This window comes from Homo sapiens, chromosome 9, assembly GCF_000001405.40.
Source record: "Homo sapiens chromosome 9, GRCh38.p14 Primary Assembly".
NCBI classification, from domain to species: Eukaryota; Metazoa; Chordata; class Mammalia; order Primates; family Hominidae; genus Homo; species Homo sapiens.
In genome coordinates, this window is record NC_000009.12 from 95227172 (window position 1) to 95245481 (window position 18310).

Consider the following 18310-nt stretch of genomic DNA (forward strand, 5'->3'; position numbering starts at 1 on the left):
TGATCTACTTGGTCAGTTCGGGAGAGAAAATTTAAAATGCCCTGCCCGCCATAGGTCCTTTTTCCTTTGTCTTTCCAACTTGCCTTGCCTGCAGAAAGGATGCGTCCTGGCCTACTGCTGCACCATACTGGGCCAGGCAGGCTCAGTCCCAGCCAGGTAGGCCTCTGGGGGCTCAGCTCACCAGTGCCTGGTGGATTTATCTACTAAATCCAGAGGAGCCAACCAAACCACAGACACAAGCTACATTCTTGAATCTGTTTAGGTGTAAAGGAACTGTCCAATTGCCTGCCTCTGGTATCTTATTCTCAACTAGTTCCTAAGACAGGAGACGACTGACAGAAGTGTTATTAGTCTCCTAAAACCTAACGCTATCCTCCACTGCTCCACTCCCACTTCTCCAACATCTCAACCTGCCAATTCCTGCCCTCCTGCACTGTGCTGAACGTATTTTCAACAAAGAAGCCACCATCTGATTTATATTTACATATGTGTCCCCCAGCCCCCATTTAAACCCTTTCAATTAAAAGTTTTGCCTTCCAAGTTAAGTGAATTCTTTACTACGGGCCAAGTGGCCCATTGGGATCAGGCCCAGCTAAACCTTCTTGAGTACCTAACATTTGATTAATGAGATGGCCATTCTTCTTATCATTAGCAAGAAGAACGTTTCTAGCTATCTCTCTGCCTACACCTCAAATCACTTTCAGGTCTCCTAGTACCATACAGGCCCTCAGCCTCTGCTCACTTGGGGCCTTGTTCTTCATGTTGCAAACTCAACTGTTCCCCTCTGGAAGCCTCTTAACCACCCCTGCAACCTCTCTGCACTCCTCCAACAAAGTGTCTCTCCCTTCCCTCTGGCTACCTCAGCGCCTTCTGCATGCTGTTCCACCCCTTCACTTGGTAAAATGCAATAAAATCACCAGATCCTCAAAGGCAAGACCTTTCCATCCCCAACACCTGCTTGTACACAGTAGGCACTCAGGATACAATTGTGGAATAAATGAGGGATGGAGGATGAAGAAAAGATGGGAGGGGAGCCAGGGCGGAAGCAGGGGCATGCGGAGCATGACAGGTGCCACATTACAACACTCTCGCAGCACTATTGCCTCACACCATTAATTTATAAACAAACTCACAGTCCTCCAAAATGCGTCCCAAACTATTTTTCTAACCTTAACTTCTCCCTCTAGGTACCTCATTCTCCAGCCTAACTGGAGTGATCACTATTTCTTGGCCATGGTCAACTTTGTCCATTCTCTCCTCTCCATGTGGAAGTCCCTCTCCTCATCCCACCACATTTTGCCACAAAAATTCCTATTCATTTCTTTACTGATTCAGCAAATAATCACTGAACGCTTACTGTGTGCCAGGCACTATCCTAGCCTGTACAAGAAGGTCTCTGCACTCATGGAACATGTAACTTAGTTGGGAGGTAATGGGGAGACAGAAAAAAACCCAGCATGTCAGGAGCTGATGAGCACTAAGACCGCGTGCAAGCGAAGAGAGTGAGGGTCTAGCCCAGGATGATGAGGCAGGCCTCCATGAGGAGGTGACATCCAGCAGTGACCCAAATGGTACCCAGAGGAGCAGTGTTGTTCTCGGAGAGGAGCAGTGAAGGCAGATGCTTAAACCCCCAAACCCCAGGAAGGAGTTGCTGGGCACACATGGGGAATAGTGAGGAGGCCACTGTGGCTGAGAGAAGTGAGAATATGAGAGAAAATCAGTAACACCCCACAGCCAGGTCACAGAGGGCCTCATGAGCCAAGCATGGACTTTGCATTTCACTTTGAATAAGACAGGAACCTACCCGAGGCTCCTGAACAGAGACACTTAAAAAGATCCTTCTTGGCTGGGCACGATGGCTCACACCTGTAATCCCAACACTTTGGAAGGCCAAGGCAGGTGGATCACCTGAGGTCAGGAGTTCAAGACCAGCCTGGCCAACATGGCAAAACCCCATTTCTACTAAAAATGCAAAAATTAGCTGGGTGTGGTGGCAGGCGCCTGTAATCCCAGCTACTTGGGAGGCTGAGGCAGGAGAATCACTTGAATACGGGAGGTGGAAGTTGCAGTGAGCTGAGATCACACCACTGCACTTCAGCCTGAGCGACAGGGTGAGATTCCTTCTCAAAAAAAAAAAAAAAAAAAAATCCTTCTGGTTGAGACTCTAGGAGAGCACACACAAAGATACTGCAATGTTCCTGGAGAGGGCAACAGTGGCGTGGATGGGGGTAGAAGCAGTGAGGCTGGTAGGAAGTGGTCAGATTCTGGACACGTGTCACAGATAAAATCAACAGACTGGATGGATTGATAGACTTGAGGTGAGATGGGAGAGTAAGAGCAGCCAAGGATGATGCCAGGGCTTTTGACCTGAGGAAACAGGAAGAATGAAGCTGCTTTTTAACTGAGTTAAGGAAGCCTGGAGGGAGAATAAAGTTTTGGGGAAAAGATCAGGAATTAATCTGGAACATGTTTAGTTTGAGATACTCATGGTCACCCAAGTGGAGATGTCACACAGGCAGCTGAAAATGTGGGGCTCAGGGGAAAGGTTCGACCTGGAGATGTGGACTTAGGACCTGTCAGTGCTTGTGTGCACACATGTACACACACACACACACACACACACACACACACACATTGTAATTCTTTCATGGCTCTTTCCAGTGATCTTGTAACAGATCAGTTCAAAATAAAACAAAATTCTGGGTAGTCTTACCTTTTAGAAAAAGAGAAGGGAAAAAATTCTGAATTATTAAATTTTAAATAATTTTATCCATTCAGTAGTTTTTTATTTTGTGCCTGCTATGAGTTACAACACAAAACAAAAAAGAACATGAACAAAAAGACATGGCCCAACTCTGCGGAATATAATGTCTGAAAAGCTGACAAATCCTCTTTAAATGGTTGCTTCCTTAATTATTTCAGTAAAAAAAAAATTTTTTTAAGTTTGCCATTCAGAAATCAATGCAGGTATTTCTTTAAAGCCACAATGAAGACTTAGCCCTGTGCCGTCCCCAGCAGTTCCAGCCTAGTGAAAGAGGTCTGTCTGAGGAGCCAGGGTTCCGTGCGGTGTAGTGCGGCTGCAGTGCAGTCACACCACCACCTGGAGTGCAATCTAACTGTTCCTCATACCAGTGAGTGGTTTCGAGAGCTCAAGGTTCCTTTCAGGGGTGAGATATCTTTGGAAGCACATACCTTGCTTTCTATGCTGCATCTGGCCCATGGATGAATAAAGAACCAGTTTCCAATGCAAAATTATTTAACCTTATTGTGTCCGGAATTTATTCCTTCTTGTGGGTTCTCGGTCTCGCTGACTTCAAGAATGAAGCCGCGGACTCTCGCAGTGAGTGTTACAGTTCTTAAAGATGGTGTGTCCAGAGTTTGTTCCTTCAGATGTTCAGATGTGTCTGGAGTTTCTTCCTTATGGTGGGTTCGTGGTCTCTCTGACTTCAGGAGTGAAGCCGCAGACCTTCGCAGTGAGTGTTACAGCTCATAAAGGTAGTGCGGACCCAAAGAGTGAGCAGCAGCAAGACTTATTGTGAAGAGCGAAAGAACAAAGCTTCCACAGTGTGGAAGGCGACCCAAGTGAGCTGGTGGCCGCTGCTGGCTGGGGTGGCCAGCTTTTATTCCCTTGTTTGGTCCCGCCCACATCCTGCTGATTAGTCCATTTTACAGAGTGCTGATTGGTCCATTTTTACAGAGTGCTGATTGGTGCATTTACAATCCTTTAGCTAGACATAGAGTGCTCATTGGTCTGTTTTTACAGAGTGCTGATTGGTGTGTTTACAATCCTTTAGCTACATACAGAGCACCGACTGGTGCGTTTACAATCCTCTAGCTAGACAGAAAAGTTCTCCATGTCCCCACTTGACCTAGGAAGTCCAGCTGGCTTCACCTCTCATTATCAGATTTCTTTTTGTAACTTCACTCCATTTTACCAGTCTGATCTTGCATTAGGTTCAATTTCAAGTATGAACCTTTGAATTCCACTGTCATACCAAATACTATTTTAGACCATGAGTTTATCTCCTTCTGTTTTACTTTTCTGAGATCTATATGCAATATTTGCAGAAAGTAAAAACCAAGTCCATAAAATATCCAAACTATGTTACTTTTTCAATGGTGGTTGCAAACACGTTTCCTAAAAATGATACATCAAGGTCATACTGAGACAGCCAGGTGACAGGGGTCCCTGGAGAAACTCCAACCAGCCTGCCCACTGACTGAGGTGGAGCCTCAGGAAGTTCACAACATTTGCAGCAGGGAGGCGCCTGGCCCCTCCTCTTCCTGTGAGGACCCTGGGATTCGAATGGCAGGCGGGAAGCACTCCAGCAGGGACTCTGGTCTAGCGAGAGCCCCTGTCTCCCCATTTTCTTCCTTTTCACCCAATAAAACCCAGTCTCACTCACCATTCAAATTGTCTACAAGCCTGAATTTTCATGGCCATGGGATAAAGAACCCCGTCCTTAGCTGAACTAGGGAAAAGTCCTGCAACAATCCTATATTTGAAAGTTCCAAGTGTGGAGAACAGAGTTCGTGATTAACCTAAAGAGGAATTCTTATGAGGGTGCAAATCAAAGAGAGGGATATTTTAAAAAGAAACTTATTTATTATTTGGTAAGTTATAACATGGAATAAAGGTATTACTTGAAGGCCACTCTCTCTTTTGCCAAGATCTTGTGGTGACCTCCAATTATTGGGTCTATGCCATTTCAGCAACCATGGAAATGAGCATAAGCTGACTGACTGTGTTAGTCCATTCTCGCATTGCTATAAAGAAATACCTGAGACTGAGTAATGGAGGCAATGAATAATTTATGAAGTAATTATAAAGAAAAGAGCTTCAACTGGCTTGTGGTTCTGCAAGCTGTACAGGAAGCACTGCAGCATCTGCTTGGCTTCCGGGGAGGCCTCAGGAAACTTACAATCATGGTGGAAGGTGAAGGGGGAGCAGGCATGTCACGCAGCCAGAGCAGCAGCAAGAGAAACAAGGGAGGTGCCACACACTTTTCAACAACTAGACCTCGCAAGAACTAGTAGTACCAGGGGGATGGTGCTAAACCATTTGTGAGAAACCATCCTCATGATACAATCACCTCCCACCAAGCCCCACTCACCCTCAACATTGGAGATTACAATTCAACATGAGTTTTGGGTGGGACACAGATCCAAACCATATCAGTGACAAACATATATTATGAACTCACTTCAGGATTGTGCAAAGGAGTAAAATTAACTGAGGCTGGGAAGAAGGATGCCTTATTGAATGCATATATCTTCTACAATGAATGGCAGTGAAAAAACAAATACAAATTAGAGCAATTTTTAAGAAACTGAAAGTACTTTATTAAATTCACTATTTATTCATAACATCCTTGAATAAATAAGATTTTTTTCTTGCAATTGTGTCCATGTGTCCCTGAGTTTCAAAAACCTTCAAAGAAATGTTTTTTTATGCCCCAAACAATGTTATCTCAAAACACTCCTGGCTTTTAGTAACAAAATCCTGAACCAAACAGCTCAAATAGAAAAGGAAAGAAATTCGAGCATTTATGCCTGGAAAAGACTTGATCCAGGGTCCACACAATGTGAATATGACCTGTTTTCTCTTGCTGTTTTTCTCAGCTATGTTTTGTCAGGACTAACTCCATTTCCAGAGACGCTCTGATCTCATGGTTCCACATGACCAACAGCAACTTCAGGGATTATGTGCTACTTAATTCATGTTCATCAGGAAAGATACAATCCACTTCCCAATCTTGCAAACAAATGTTACAGCCCTGAATCTCATCAGCCTTGACGGGGCTCATCTTGACCAACCAGTGTGGCCAGAGGAACAGAGAAGCTGTGTTGGTTAAGCCAGGTAGGACCCACTCCAGGAGCCACATAAGATACCTCTCACCCAGAATGAATCATGCACAGCTGGGAAATTCAGGGTACTATTAAGAAGGCGGGAAAGGAGGGGAGATGGATACTGGAAAAGCAATGAATAAATATCCCCTATACAGGCAAATACAAAAATTCAATTATCAATTAATCTTTAAAAAAAAAAACCCTGAGGTTGTAGAAAGTCAAGCAAATAGAACGCAGGTAGAAAAAAAATATCAGTAATGTGTTTGTTACTTAAAAGTAATAAAAATAGTAGATGGAGCTGTGGAAGAGGAATCGCTAACATCCCTGGCCTCATCTCTGAATTTCACCTTGCCTCTGCTATTTTTCACTAATCATCTTATTTTCCCTTTTAAATTGCCATTCAAACTTGAACAATAATTATTTCCCTAGGTTTCCATATCTCAGCCAGGCCAGGCTAGTAAGGGTATAAAACCATTCCAAGGAGAGGAAAGAAAATTTCTGCCAAGTACAAATCTGTGCATAGGTTTGGCATGTCTGGAGCTAGTGCAGCAAGATGCTAGGATCTGGGAAGATCAGGGAGTGGCCTTCATGATATGTGGATGCAAAAATGGAAAATGGAGATATTAGGGTTGAGAAAAGATGAAGAGAAGCTGCATATACCAAGGTAGAATGTGGATTTTATCAAAATTTATTACTGGTTAATAAAGTTGGGGTGTGTACTCCAAGTAGTGCACAAGATAGTCCACTGAGATGTGAAAACAACATTAGAATATTTATATGTAAGAAGAAATCAAGCTTTATTAATATTTCACAAATGTACTCACACTACGACCTTAGCCAGTCTAGATGTTATAGATGGTCATGTGTCACAAGTAGTCCAAGTGGGACCCTGAGGGAAGGGTGGGGATTCCACCTCACAGAGGGCTGGCAGGAGCCCTCCGGTTCCCACTTCCTCTCAGGATATGCATTATGGTCTCCATGTGACCAGTAAGGAAGGTCTGCTGATTATGCTATCTAACTAAAGGAACCATCAGATGGACACCTGGCTTCAAAAGATCCCTGCAAAGAAGTCAGAGATTAAAAATACTACTATGAATGCAACCTAAGAGAACTGGGAAATGGTAGCACAGACACTTCTGCAAGCGAATCATCAGCCTCATTAAAAGGTTATGCTAATTAAAAGTTGGCAAAAATGTTTCAAAGTTATCAGGAAGATTATCTGAAAAAATAAATTTGTACAACTTTTAATTCATTTATGCATATCATATATTCATTAATTTATTCAAAAATTTATGCCGTGCCAGGTACTGTTCAATTTGCTAATAGTAAACAAAACTGAGAAAAACCAATTTTGCCTTAGAGGATAGTGGCCATTGAGATTCTCACCAAACTGACTAATCACAATGCCAATCAAAATGCCAACAAGTTATTTTGTGTTTTAGTGAAACCTGACACACACATCCTAAAATTTATGTAACAGTTAATGCTAAGTTCCAATATTAGCCAAGGCTGTCTTGATGAAGAACAAGATGGAAGAACTTCCTCCTGGATAGCAAGATACTTACAAGGCCACATTAATGATGACAGTGTGGAACTGGCATAAATATAGTATATTTGTCAGTTATCCAGAGAAACTGAACCAATAAGATAGACACACACACACACAGGGATTTATTATAAGGAATCAGCTAACACCATTACAGTAGCCAGCAAGTCAGAGACACAAGAGAGCAAATGCCCAGATAACCAGGAGAGTCACCGGTATAGTTTCAGTCAGAAGGCCAGCAGGCTTTAGACCCGGGAAGAGGTGACGTTTCAGTCTGAGTGTGAAAGCAGGAAAAAGGACAATGTCTCAGTTTAAAAGCTTTCAGGCAGGAGGACTTCTCTCTTACTCGGGAGCATCAGCCTTCTTTTCTAGTCAGGTCTCTCACTGACTGGATAGGGCCCACCCGTATTAGGATGGGCAATCTGCTTTACTCAGTCAACTAATTTAAATGTTAATCTCACCCCAAGACACCCTCACAGAAACACACAGAATAATGTTACCAGGACCTTGTGTCCAGTCAAGTTGATACTAAGATTAATACCATAAATAAACAACAAAACCAATGGAGAGATGCAGGATCACACCTGTGCACCCAAAGGCACCTGATGCATGATGAAGGTGGCACCACAGATCAGTGGGAAATGCACCCAAAGGCACCTGATGCATGATGAAGGTGGCACCACAGATCAGTGGGAAATGCACCTGATGCATGATGAAGGTGGCACCACAGATCAGTGGGAAATGCACCCAAAGGAACCTGATGCATGACGAAGGTAGCACCACAGATCATGATTTTCAATAACGGTGTCAGGCAATGGGACATCAACGTGGAAATAAGATGAAAATGGACTACTTACCACCTTACACCACACCATAAGTTACAGGTGGATCACAGACTTACATAGGAAAAGGAAACCAACAGGCTTTTAGAAGATAATATGGAAGATCTTCATGACCTTGGACTGCAGAAAAATTTCTTAAATAAGGCACAAAGTGGCCAGGCACAGTGGCTCACGCCTGTAATCCCAGCACTTTGGGAGGCTGAGGTGGGCAGATCACGTGAGGTCGGGAGTTTGAGACCAGCCCGACCAACATGGAGAAACCCCATCTCTACTAAAAATACAAAATTGGCTGGGTGTGGTGGCGCATGCCTGTAATCTGAGCTACTTGGGAGGCTGAGACAGGAGAGCTGCTTGAACCCAGGAGGCGGAGGTTGCAGTGGGCCAAGATTGCGCCATTGCACTCCAACCTGGGCAACAAGAGTGAAACTCCACCTCAAAAAAAAAAAAAAAAAAAAAAAAAAGCAACAAGGGGCACATGGGGGGCAGGGACATCCAGGAGCAGTCAATGTTCTGTTCTATTTCCTTGGGTGGTGATTACAAGGATCTGTCACAATTTATTAAGCTTGGCATTTATGTTTTGTGTAAGTCTGTTAGATTTTTTAATTTATAAGTTTTTTCTTTTTGAAAAAAGAAGAAAGTAGAGGACAGACGCTATCTGGATATTGCTTAGTATTGCATTTCGAAAGAAAATACAGATAGAATACAACACCTTTTGATCTCTGTTCCTGGTACCCTGTTGTGTTTTTTTGTCTTTTTTTCTTTCTATCAGAATCAAAAAATAATAGTGGTATGGTTTTGCCAGAGAAGACAGGCATCCTCTTACATTTGGCAGGCCCTGGAAACCTTCCCCATCTATTGTAGCATCTGAGAACAGACTGTCTTTCTAGGTCCAGTGCTGTATCCTCAGCCTCTATAGTTGTGCCTGGCAAACAGTAGGTGCTCAAAAAGTATCTGTTCAGTGGATTTACCAGTAAAACTACATTTTTCAAGACCACATATTCCCAAAATACATGAAAGAGTCCCGGAACTTCGTCTCTGAACTGTAAGAAGAGCTGTTGAGGTGGTGCTCTATGATGGCACATTCAAGGTTGTCAGTAAAACTCCAAAACATTTTATCAATGTGTTTCCAGTATAACACATGCTAACATGTCAAGTGTCAAACAGAATTATTTCTTCTCTGTGCTAAAAATACAACTCAGTCTATCATTTTCAAATTTATTAATTAATTTGAATGTTTACTGAATTTTGTAATTTACTGTAGAAATTCTTAGTTTTTGATTTAGAGTATTTCAATCATACTTGTAATGCTCCAGTAACACAGAATGACCCAAGATTTTATTACCACAATTAGAACATCCTAGCACATGGTAGGCCCTAATAAATGCTTGCTGAATGAATTAGCAAACATTAAAATATGGCTGTTTTATAATTTTCACAAGGATATTGGATGTCAAGGTACACATCTTTAACAGATACTATGTCACTCTAAAACCTCCATGAAGAAAATATCACCTCCAAGATAAAATCAAGTATACCGGAGATGTGAACTGATTTATAAACCAACCTACAGACTATCTTCTATCTTGCTGCATTTACAGCCAACATGAGATTATGTATGTACTGACTGATGATGGGCAATGTAATTAGCTTTAGAGTTGTTAAGAGTTAAATAATTAATATGTTAATAAATTGTTAAGAGTTAAATCATTAATATGTTCCTAGACATCTTTTTATCGGTTCATGTTATTTAGTTCAGGCTTGCTTGGTAACTGAGGAAGGAAACTGTTTTCCCAACCTCGCATATCCTCACCTGTTCCCTACCCACATATTCATCTCAATGTAAAGCATGTTTGGGACTTGCTCAATTCAGCCAACCCCACCCTAGTCTGGCTATCACCCCCTTCATTGCCAAAGTTCTCCCTCCTTTACTGCCAAGTTTCTTGAAAGAGTGAAGTTTATTATCTCTGCTTCCTCACCTCTTCAACATTTCTCAATCTGGAGCAATCTGGCTGTTTCCCTCCACCTCTCACTAAACCTCTCCTCACCGAGTCTTTGCTCACAGTGGCTAAATCCAAGTAGTGTTTCTTGATCCTTCTGCTGTATGCTCCACAGCTGCCCTGTCCAACACGGCGGCCGCCTGCCACATGTGGCTGCAGAGCACTGCCGTGCAGTAAGCACCAGGGAATAACTGAACTTTGTATTTAATTTTAATTCAATTTTAATTTAAATACCGATACTTGATTCAGTTATAAAATTCCTCGGAACAACTTGGGTATGTGAATCTACTTTTTCAACCCTACATTTTATAAAATCTAAATACAGATCAAGAATTTCCAAAGAAAATTTAACATCTGAATGAAGATACAACACGTAGATATAAGTGTTAGCGTAACATACACAGTGGATTTCAAAGATACATCATGAAAAAGATTATAAATAATCTCAATAACTTTAATAATGATTAAATGTTGAAATGATGGTATTTGGAATATACTGAATTAGGTGAAATATCTTCTTAAAATTAATTTTAACTATTTCTTTTTATGTTTTTTAAAGCAGCACCTGGAAAGTTTACCATTATCTATGCAGCATGTATTTTATTCCTACTGGACAGCACTGCTGTATGGCATTAGATATGAATGAGCACTCATTCTCCGTTGCTTCTCTCCTTCTACTTCTTGGACCCCTCCTTACATTCTGTAGCATCAATCATTCTTCCACTTCCCCTTAAGGTCAGTGTCTCCCCAAGGCTCTCTCTAGTTCCCCTGGGCCCCTACCCCAGCACTCTCTGGGAGCGGACCTTACCTCACCTAAGGCTTCCACTATTCCCACAGGTGGCTGACTTTCAATCCTCTGCCAGCAAATCAGCTTGCTCTCCTGACAATGGGATATTCACCTGCTCTCTGTACATTTCCAGCTATGCCTAAGTGTATCGACATTTAATCTGCCATTATACCTTCTGGGTATTTGCCTTATTAATATCTTATAAATCGGGCCCCCTTCTCCATTTCTTTGAGGCCCTCGCAATTTCTCAACTTATCACTACAATAGCTTCCAACGTCTATCCTTGCCCTCTTCCCAACCAACTTCCTTTTGCTGTTAGTCTCTAAAACTCACACTGGCTACATGATATCTCTGGCTTTTTTTTTCCTTTTTTCTTTTTTTTTGTTTTTTGAGACAGAGTCTCGCTCTGTCACCCAGGCTGGAGTGCAGTGGCATGATATCAGCTCACTGCAACCTCTGCCTCCCAGGTTCAAGCGATTCTCCTGCCTCAGCCTCCCTAGTAGCTGAGAGTACAGGCACGTGCCACCATTCCTGGCTAATTTTTTGTATTTTTAGTAGAGACAAGGTTTCACCATGTTAGCCAGGATGGTTTTGATCTCCTGACGTCATGATCTGCCCACCCTGGCCTCCCAAAGTGCTGGGGCATGAGCCACCGCGCCCAGGCATGATTTCTCTGTTTTAAATACTCTGGTGGCTGCCCCACTGTCATCAAGATAAAAACCTTCTATAGTCATATGCAAGGACTGTGCTTGCTGGTCTCTCTGGCTTCATGCTTCATCACCAACTCCACAAAACCCCAAGTTCCAGGCACACTTAAGTACCCACAGTTCCCTGAATACGTTTGCTTTCTCACCACCATACTTTGCATAGTCTGTTTCTGCTGACAGGAATATTCTCCCTAACTCTATCCTTGCTCTCCTAGCTGTTCTTCAGAATTCAATTAACACGTCACCTGCCCCAGGAAATGTCTCCAAACCCCCTTGTCAGAGCAAGTGTCCCCCTCTACGTCAGCGTCACACCTAAACACAGCTTTAGCAATAACTCAACCACGCTGCCCTGGAGTGACCTGGTTACCAGTCTGGGAATTCCCCGAAGGCACAGATTAAGTGTTTTAACTCCCTGAACTATACTTAATAAGTACCTACTAGTAAGTAGATATAGTATTAAACAAGAAAAACAATAAAATGTGAGGCTAGAAATTTTTAAACAGGCTAATAAAGTCATGAGTTAAATGAAGAAAGTTAATCCAGTCACTCTAAAAACACTTCATTAGATGGCCTACTTCAGGACTCAATGAGCTATCTAATACAAAATTATATGCTAAATATTCATTAAAATATCAAATAATAAAAGCAACAATTAAAAAAATTAAGGACTAAATATGTCATTTTGTTTCTTCAGCCTTGTTACACATTCTTTCTTCCCTAATTCTACTTATCTGTTCCTTTCTTCAGTTCCTTACATTAATTTTCCTTCCAATTAAAGTTTGTATTCTTTCCTTCCATTGCCCAATCCCTCTCACTCCCTTCTATCTTTCAAACAGAAAAATATAAATACTGTCTTCATCATCTGTTAGCAATTTTGTCTAAAACAAAGAAATCGTAAAAAGCAGTGAATGTAACGATATCACCAGTCAGACTGATAGACAAAACCATATGCACTAATCTGGTTGGATGATTTCATAATACTAAGCAGCTGATCTGAACCACAAGCATACTAAGTGGAGTCTGACAGGCATCAGCCAGTCCTGGGGTTGCTGCAGCAAGGCAGTGCGGGGAACAGAAAAGAACAGCCAATGCGCTGCTGGTGAGGGCAGCTGCAGCCCAGCCTCACCACATCTCTACCTTATGCCTACCCTTCAGGAGAAAGTAGAAGCAGACAGGGAAATCTAGAAAGCTGTCAGCTATCTGGACTAGCACAGTAGGTAGCCAACTGGAAAGTGTGAGTGAGCAGCAGAGGCTGCGCAGCACCAAGATCCAGTCTGTGCATATGCTGGCTCAGGCACCAACTTCGGGACACAAAATAAAGAGTGCTGCTCCCGCCGCACTGCTGAATTTTCATTTCACTACAAAATAGATTTTGAGAGAGGCATGGAAGCATGTGGAAAGGAATTTAAACCAGGTTGATAGGGAAAAACAATTTTTTGAAGGATAGCAATTGCTAGAGTGAAATGGAATACATTATTTTAATCACCTGAAAGAAACTTTTCAAAACCACTCAACATTAGGTCTTCATCCTAAAGACTGGTATCTTTTGGAATTCACAGTCAAGCAAAATTGAAATCTCTTGAAAAACTTTTTACTCAGCAAGATAATGTAACAGTGAAGGGTATGTTTGAAAAAGTTTCTAAAACATCATAGAACTGGATTCCACCCCACCCCAAAATTTTTTTAAGCAGCACTTTTAAATAATCAATTTAATTCAAAGAAGTGCAGAGCAAGATTTACTCTCTTACCTGTATCCAGGAGTTAAGTTTTGATTGTCCAGAATTCTGTGGTTCTTTGTTAATTAGACAACATAAGCACCATATTAGAATTTTTTGGCTTTCATCTACAAAAAGGAAAACTTAATAAGTTTTATCAAGCAGAAAAAATCATTAATATAAAAACACTGTAAACATTATATTTAGGAAAATCTCAAACTACTAAGTTCACAGAACAAGTATCCCTGAATATAACATTTGCTTTCTCGCCATCATACTTTGCACATTCTCTTTCTGCTGATGGGAATATTTTCCCTCACTCTATCTTTGCTCTCCTAGCTGTCCTTCAGAATTCCCTAAACTTAACTTTGTGGGGTTTTGTCCTTCTTGTGGCCTTGGGATCACTTAACTCTTGTGTGGTCAATTTCCTTTCTGTAACAGTATCAATTTTTAAAGCCAAACGAGAATGATGGAAAGAACTAAGAGAACTGGGCTTTTTTCATGATCAGTTTTTTCACATTTCAAATGGTTAGTAATTTCGACCTTTCTAAGGCAACTTAATGGTTATAGGCAGTTGGTAGCCAGTATTTGTGATTTAATCTTTTAATTTTTTAATTTGCCAAAATAGCTCCACTTGTTAAAAAGAAATTTAATAAAAAGGATTGTTTTAAAATATATTTCTAGTACCAAGTGCTTTGGATAAAATAGAAGTCTCTTACATGCTCTTTTACTCTAAAATGTAAATCTTTATAAAACTTTACCAAACATGCAATGAAAATCTGAACTTTGAAATCTTACATTTTGCAGGAACATCTACTTGATGAGCTACTTTCTTTCTCCTTTTGTGGTGACTGAGTCTATTCCAGCGGATGATTTTATAACACAATTAAGAAACAAAAATGGGGCCTAGAAACTGAAGATGTCAGTACCCGAGCTAGGGCAAAGCAACTTCAGACTTTACAAGGCCATGGAGGTGAGGCTAAGACAGCCGGTGCCTGGAATCAGTACTCTCTGCCACCTCATCTTCTGCAATCTAATAAACCCAATCTTTCTCTTTTTTTTGAGACAGGGTCTCGCTCTGTCACCCAGGCTGGAGTGCAGTGGCATGATCTCAGCTCAGTGAAACATCCACCTCTCGGGCTCCAGCGATTCTCCCACCTCAGCCTCCTGAGTAGCTGGGACCACAGGTGTGTGCCACCACACCCGGATAATTTTTGTATTTTTTGTAGAGACTGGATCTCACCATGTCGCCCAGGCTGGTCTCCGACTCCTGAGCTCAAGTGATCCTCCTGCCATGGCCTCCCAAAGTGCTGGGATCACAGGCATGAGCCACCGTGCCTGGCCAAAACCCAGCATTTCTAAGGACTTCATTAACAAAGAAATAAGAACAATACCAACTCTAGTAAGCGACTTCTGTATTTTTATCCACAAACTAAATAATGCTAACAGTAATTTTTAAACCCATTTTTTTCCCTGTGAACATACATAGCTTATGCTTTTCCAATAACTAACATCTCTGAAAAAACTTTATCAGGGGTTATTCTGAGGCCATTCATTTTTTTCCCCTAGCTTTTATGAGCTCAAATAAAGCATTATAAAGCACTGGCTTGCCTGAGATCAGTTCATTTCAAGAGTCGTATAATTTAACCACTAAAGATTCTAGGATTCTTCAGGTTTAACCAATGCCACTAATTAAAAATGTGACTGTTATGCTTCCCATAGTTTCAATATTAGAAGAAATTCTACCTAGCTTCATGTAGTAAGTGTGACAGATGCATCCAATGGCATCCTTACGCATGCAGCAGGGTGTTAAAAAGAATGTAATCTGATGGAGAGCATTTCCAAAAACCAGACATTCACCACCAAAAAAAAAAAAAAAAAAAAAGAAAGGAAATGTCAGTTTATGAGTTTATGAAGCTTAAATCTAAAAGAATACCCAAAACTGGGAGTTTCCCCAGGTGTTGAGTGATTATGCAAACTTAGTTCAAAAGGTATATTATTTTTTATTTTTCTCCCAAAATTTTATTTTTTGGGAGAAAAATAAAAAAAGAGAAGGAGCCAGAGAAACTTCCACCCAACCTGTAGGAGGTGACTTTCTGTGCCCAGAGTCAATGCACTGAAATGCACTGCTAATGAGCTTACAGTTTGCTTTGCTTAGGCAATTTACAAACATGAGCCATGGACTGTTATTCACAAGTGCCACCAGCACTCACTCCAGGGGCTGGCATCTGTCAGGCTCCTCCCTGGAGGCCCTGAGCTCAGGCTGGAGCATCCCACAGGGCATGTTAAGTGAGATGGGAAACTGCCTGGGATTCACTGCAGGGACAGTCACTGACAGCCCATCTTAGTGTAAATTTGGATTCTAAAACTGAGTGGAAAGGAAAGGAAGATAACAACATACACTTGCCATCTTGTATTTTATTTTTTGATATCTGGAATTGAAATTCTACATAAAAGCTAAAGCAATTCTTTAAACTTTAATTCTATAGTTTAAAAGTATGAAGGCAGCAAATTTTTAAGACAATATTCACTGTTTTAAGCTGCTAAGTTTGGCAGAAATTTGTTATACAGGAATAGTGAATAGTGAAGAAGAGAGGTAACAGCTGTCATGCTTAATCGTGAGGGCAGAGTTAGAAGCAATGGATCAGAATTTCAGAAGGTGAAGGCAGTATTTTTATGCTGAGGACATCATCGAATAAAAAGGTATTCTCTAACTTTCCATTATTATCTATTTTGTCTCTTCTCTTTTCAGTATCTTTTCATTTCCAAATCATCCCTCCTTCCTTATTACCCTTTTCTGATCCTATTCTCCATGAACACTACATATGACTTACTTTTTTCCATGATGAAAATTGTTTGCTTTTACTGTAATTAAAAAGCAATTTTGGGCCAGGCGTGGTGGTTCACACCTGTAATCCCAGCACTTTGGGAGGCCGAGGTGGGCGGATCACAAGGTCAGGAGATCAAGACCATCCTAGCTAACACGGTGAAACCCCATCTCTACTAAAAATACAAAAAAAAAAAACAGATTAGCTGGGCGTGGTAGCGGGCGCCTGTAGTCCCAGCTACTTGGTAGGCTGAGGCAGGAGAATGGCGTGAACCTAGGAAGCAGAGCTTGCAGTGAGCCGAGATCGCACCACTGCACTCCAGCCTGGGTGAAAGAGCGAGACTCCATCTCAAAAAAAAGCAATTCTGATATTATAAAACCATAAGAAAAGATCCCTTCCAGGAAGAAAGCGCCCAACTAGTCAAACAACAGGGGCGACACAGGCAACATCTGACTGCTAATGGAGTTTCATGCCATTCAGCCACCTCTGTGAGCTCACAGCCAGGGCATACCTCAACAGGAAACTGAAATTTATGAGCAGTTCAAAAGGTAATACAAGCGTTGAGACAGAAAGGGATGGAGAATTTGTTTCTGGTTGTCAGAGGGGCCAAGGTAATGCAGATAAGGTGCTAAGGAAAGATCACAGACAGATACAAGTTCAAGGACACCAGAATAAATCAGTCTGAACTCCTACTTTTACAAAGAAGAAATATGAGACCCCACGAGTTCAGATGCCCTGTCTTAGAGAATCACATCTTCAAGTTTGCCCCAGCAGGGGCTCTCCTGAGAAACCCTCCTTCCTCTCAGCAACTGCTACTCCCATTCAGAGAACCATCACATTGAGTCAGGCTGACCTGCTTAAGTATCTCTTTTTCCCTGACTGGAAGCTCCTAATGGGCAGAGACAGTGAGCCGCGTTTTCCTAAGGGCTGGCACACACAAAAAAACACTTTGTAGGCTGGGTGCAGTGGCCCACGCCTGTAATCCCAGCACTTTGGGAGGCCGAGGCAGGCAGATCACAAGGTCAGGAGATTGAGACCATCCTGGCTAACACGGTGAAACCCCATCTCTAGTAAGAATACAAAAAATTAGCTGGATGTGGTGGTGGGTGCCTATAGTCCCAGCTACTCAGGAGGCTGAGGCAGGAGAATCCCTTGAACCTGGGAGGCAAAGGTTGCAGTGAGCCGAGATCACGCCACTGCACTCCAGCCTAGGCAACAGAGCAAGACTTTGTCTCAAAAAAAAAAAAAAAAAAAAAAAAAAAAAAAAAAACCCAACACTTGGTAAATACCTGCTGAATTAATATGTATGTGCAAGTGAAGCTGGCTAGTGGGAATGCCAAGACTGGAACACTTCGATCACAAGATGTGATCCAATAGGGACAGAACATTACAGAAGGTGGACTTTAAAGTCACATGAGGAGTGGGGTTCTGGCTCTTCTTAGTGTTGTATTCTAGGGAAAGCGACTTATTGACTCTAATCCATAATTATCTACCCTGCAACACTGTCATCAAGAATTAATTAGGTCCATTATGTAGCCCACAGAGAACAGTGCCCAGCTCAAAGTGAGCAATGCCTCTCACACGACATCATAAACCTCCCCACGTTTCTCACATTTCTGACTTGAGGATGTATTACATCCACGATGTACATTTAAAGGACGTAATATTTCTTTCTTTCTAAAAAGCAATTAATAAATCCATGAAGCCCCTAACAATGGGTACTGCTTTCAAATGAAGGTCATTCAACAATTTCTTTTCCTTTTTCCTGCCATCGATATTGGCCTAGATCAATGTTCTTCAAACTTCTGGTCAAGAAGCATCAAGGGTTATGAAATCCAGTCTCGGGTCATGAACACCATTCACTATGAACAGCATAGTGAACATGGACTGCACAGAATAATAATACAATAGTCCCTCTTTATCAATGGCGGAAATATTCCAAGACCCTCAGGGGATGTCTGAAACTGAGAATAGTACCAAACCTTAAATACAGTGTTTTCTCCTATACACATACCTATGATAAAGTTTAACTTATAAA

General features: G+C 41.7%; 1 protein-coding gene across 19 annotated transcripts in view, besides 1 other annotated feature; it reads right to left on the reverse strand.

Moving 5' to 3' along the window:
* FANCC (FA complementation group C) overlaps positions 1 to 18310 on the reverse strand; it is a 218656-nt gene that overhangs the window by 128118 nt on the left and 72228 nt on the right. For all 19 annotated transcript variants that reach the window (XM_006717001.4, NM_000136.3, XM_047422951.1 and 16 more), the window contains exon 4: positions 13478 to 13572. In XM_006717001.4, coding sequence (XP_006717064.1) covers positions 13478 to 13572 — 95 coding nt within the window. The remainder of the gene's footprint in view (positions 1 to 13477; positions 13573 to 18310) is intronic.
* Positions 14090 to 14259: an enhancer, noted in NCBI's record as "experimental_110548 CRE fragment used in MPRA reporter constructs". NCBI's record gives its function as "activates a minimal promoter by MPRAs in K562 erythroleukemia cells, with activity observed for the introgressed 9:98003628 variant allele {active_cell/tissue: K562}" and the evidence as "EXISTENCE:reporter gene assay evidence [ECO:0000049][PMID:34662402]".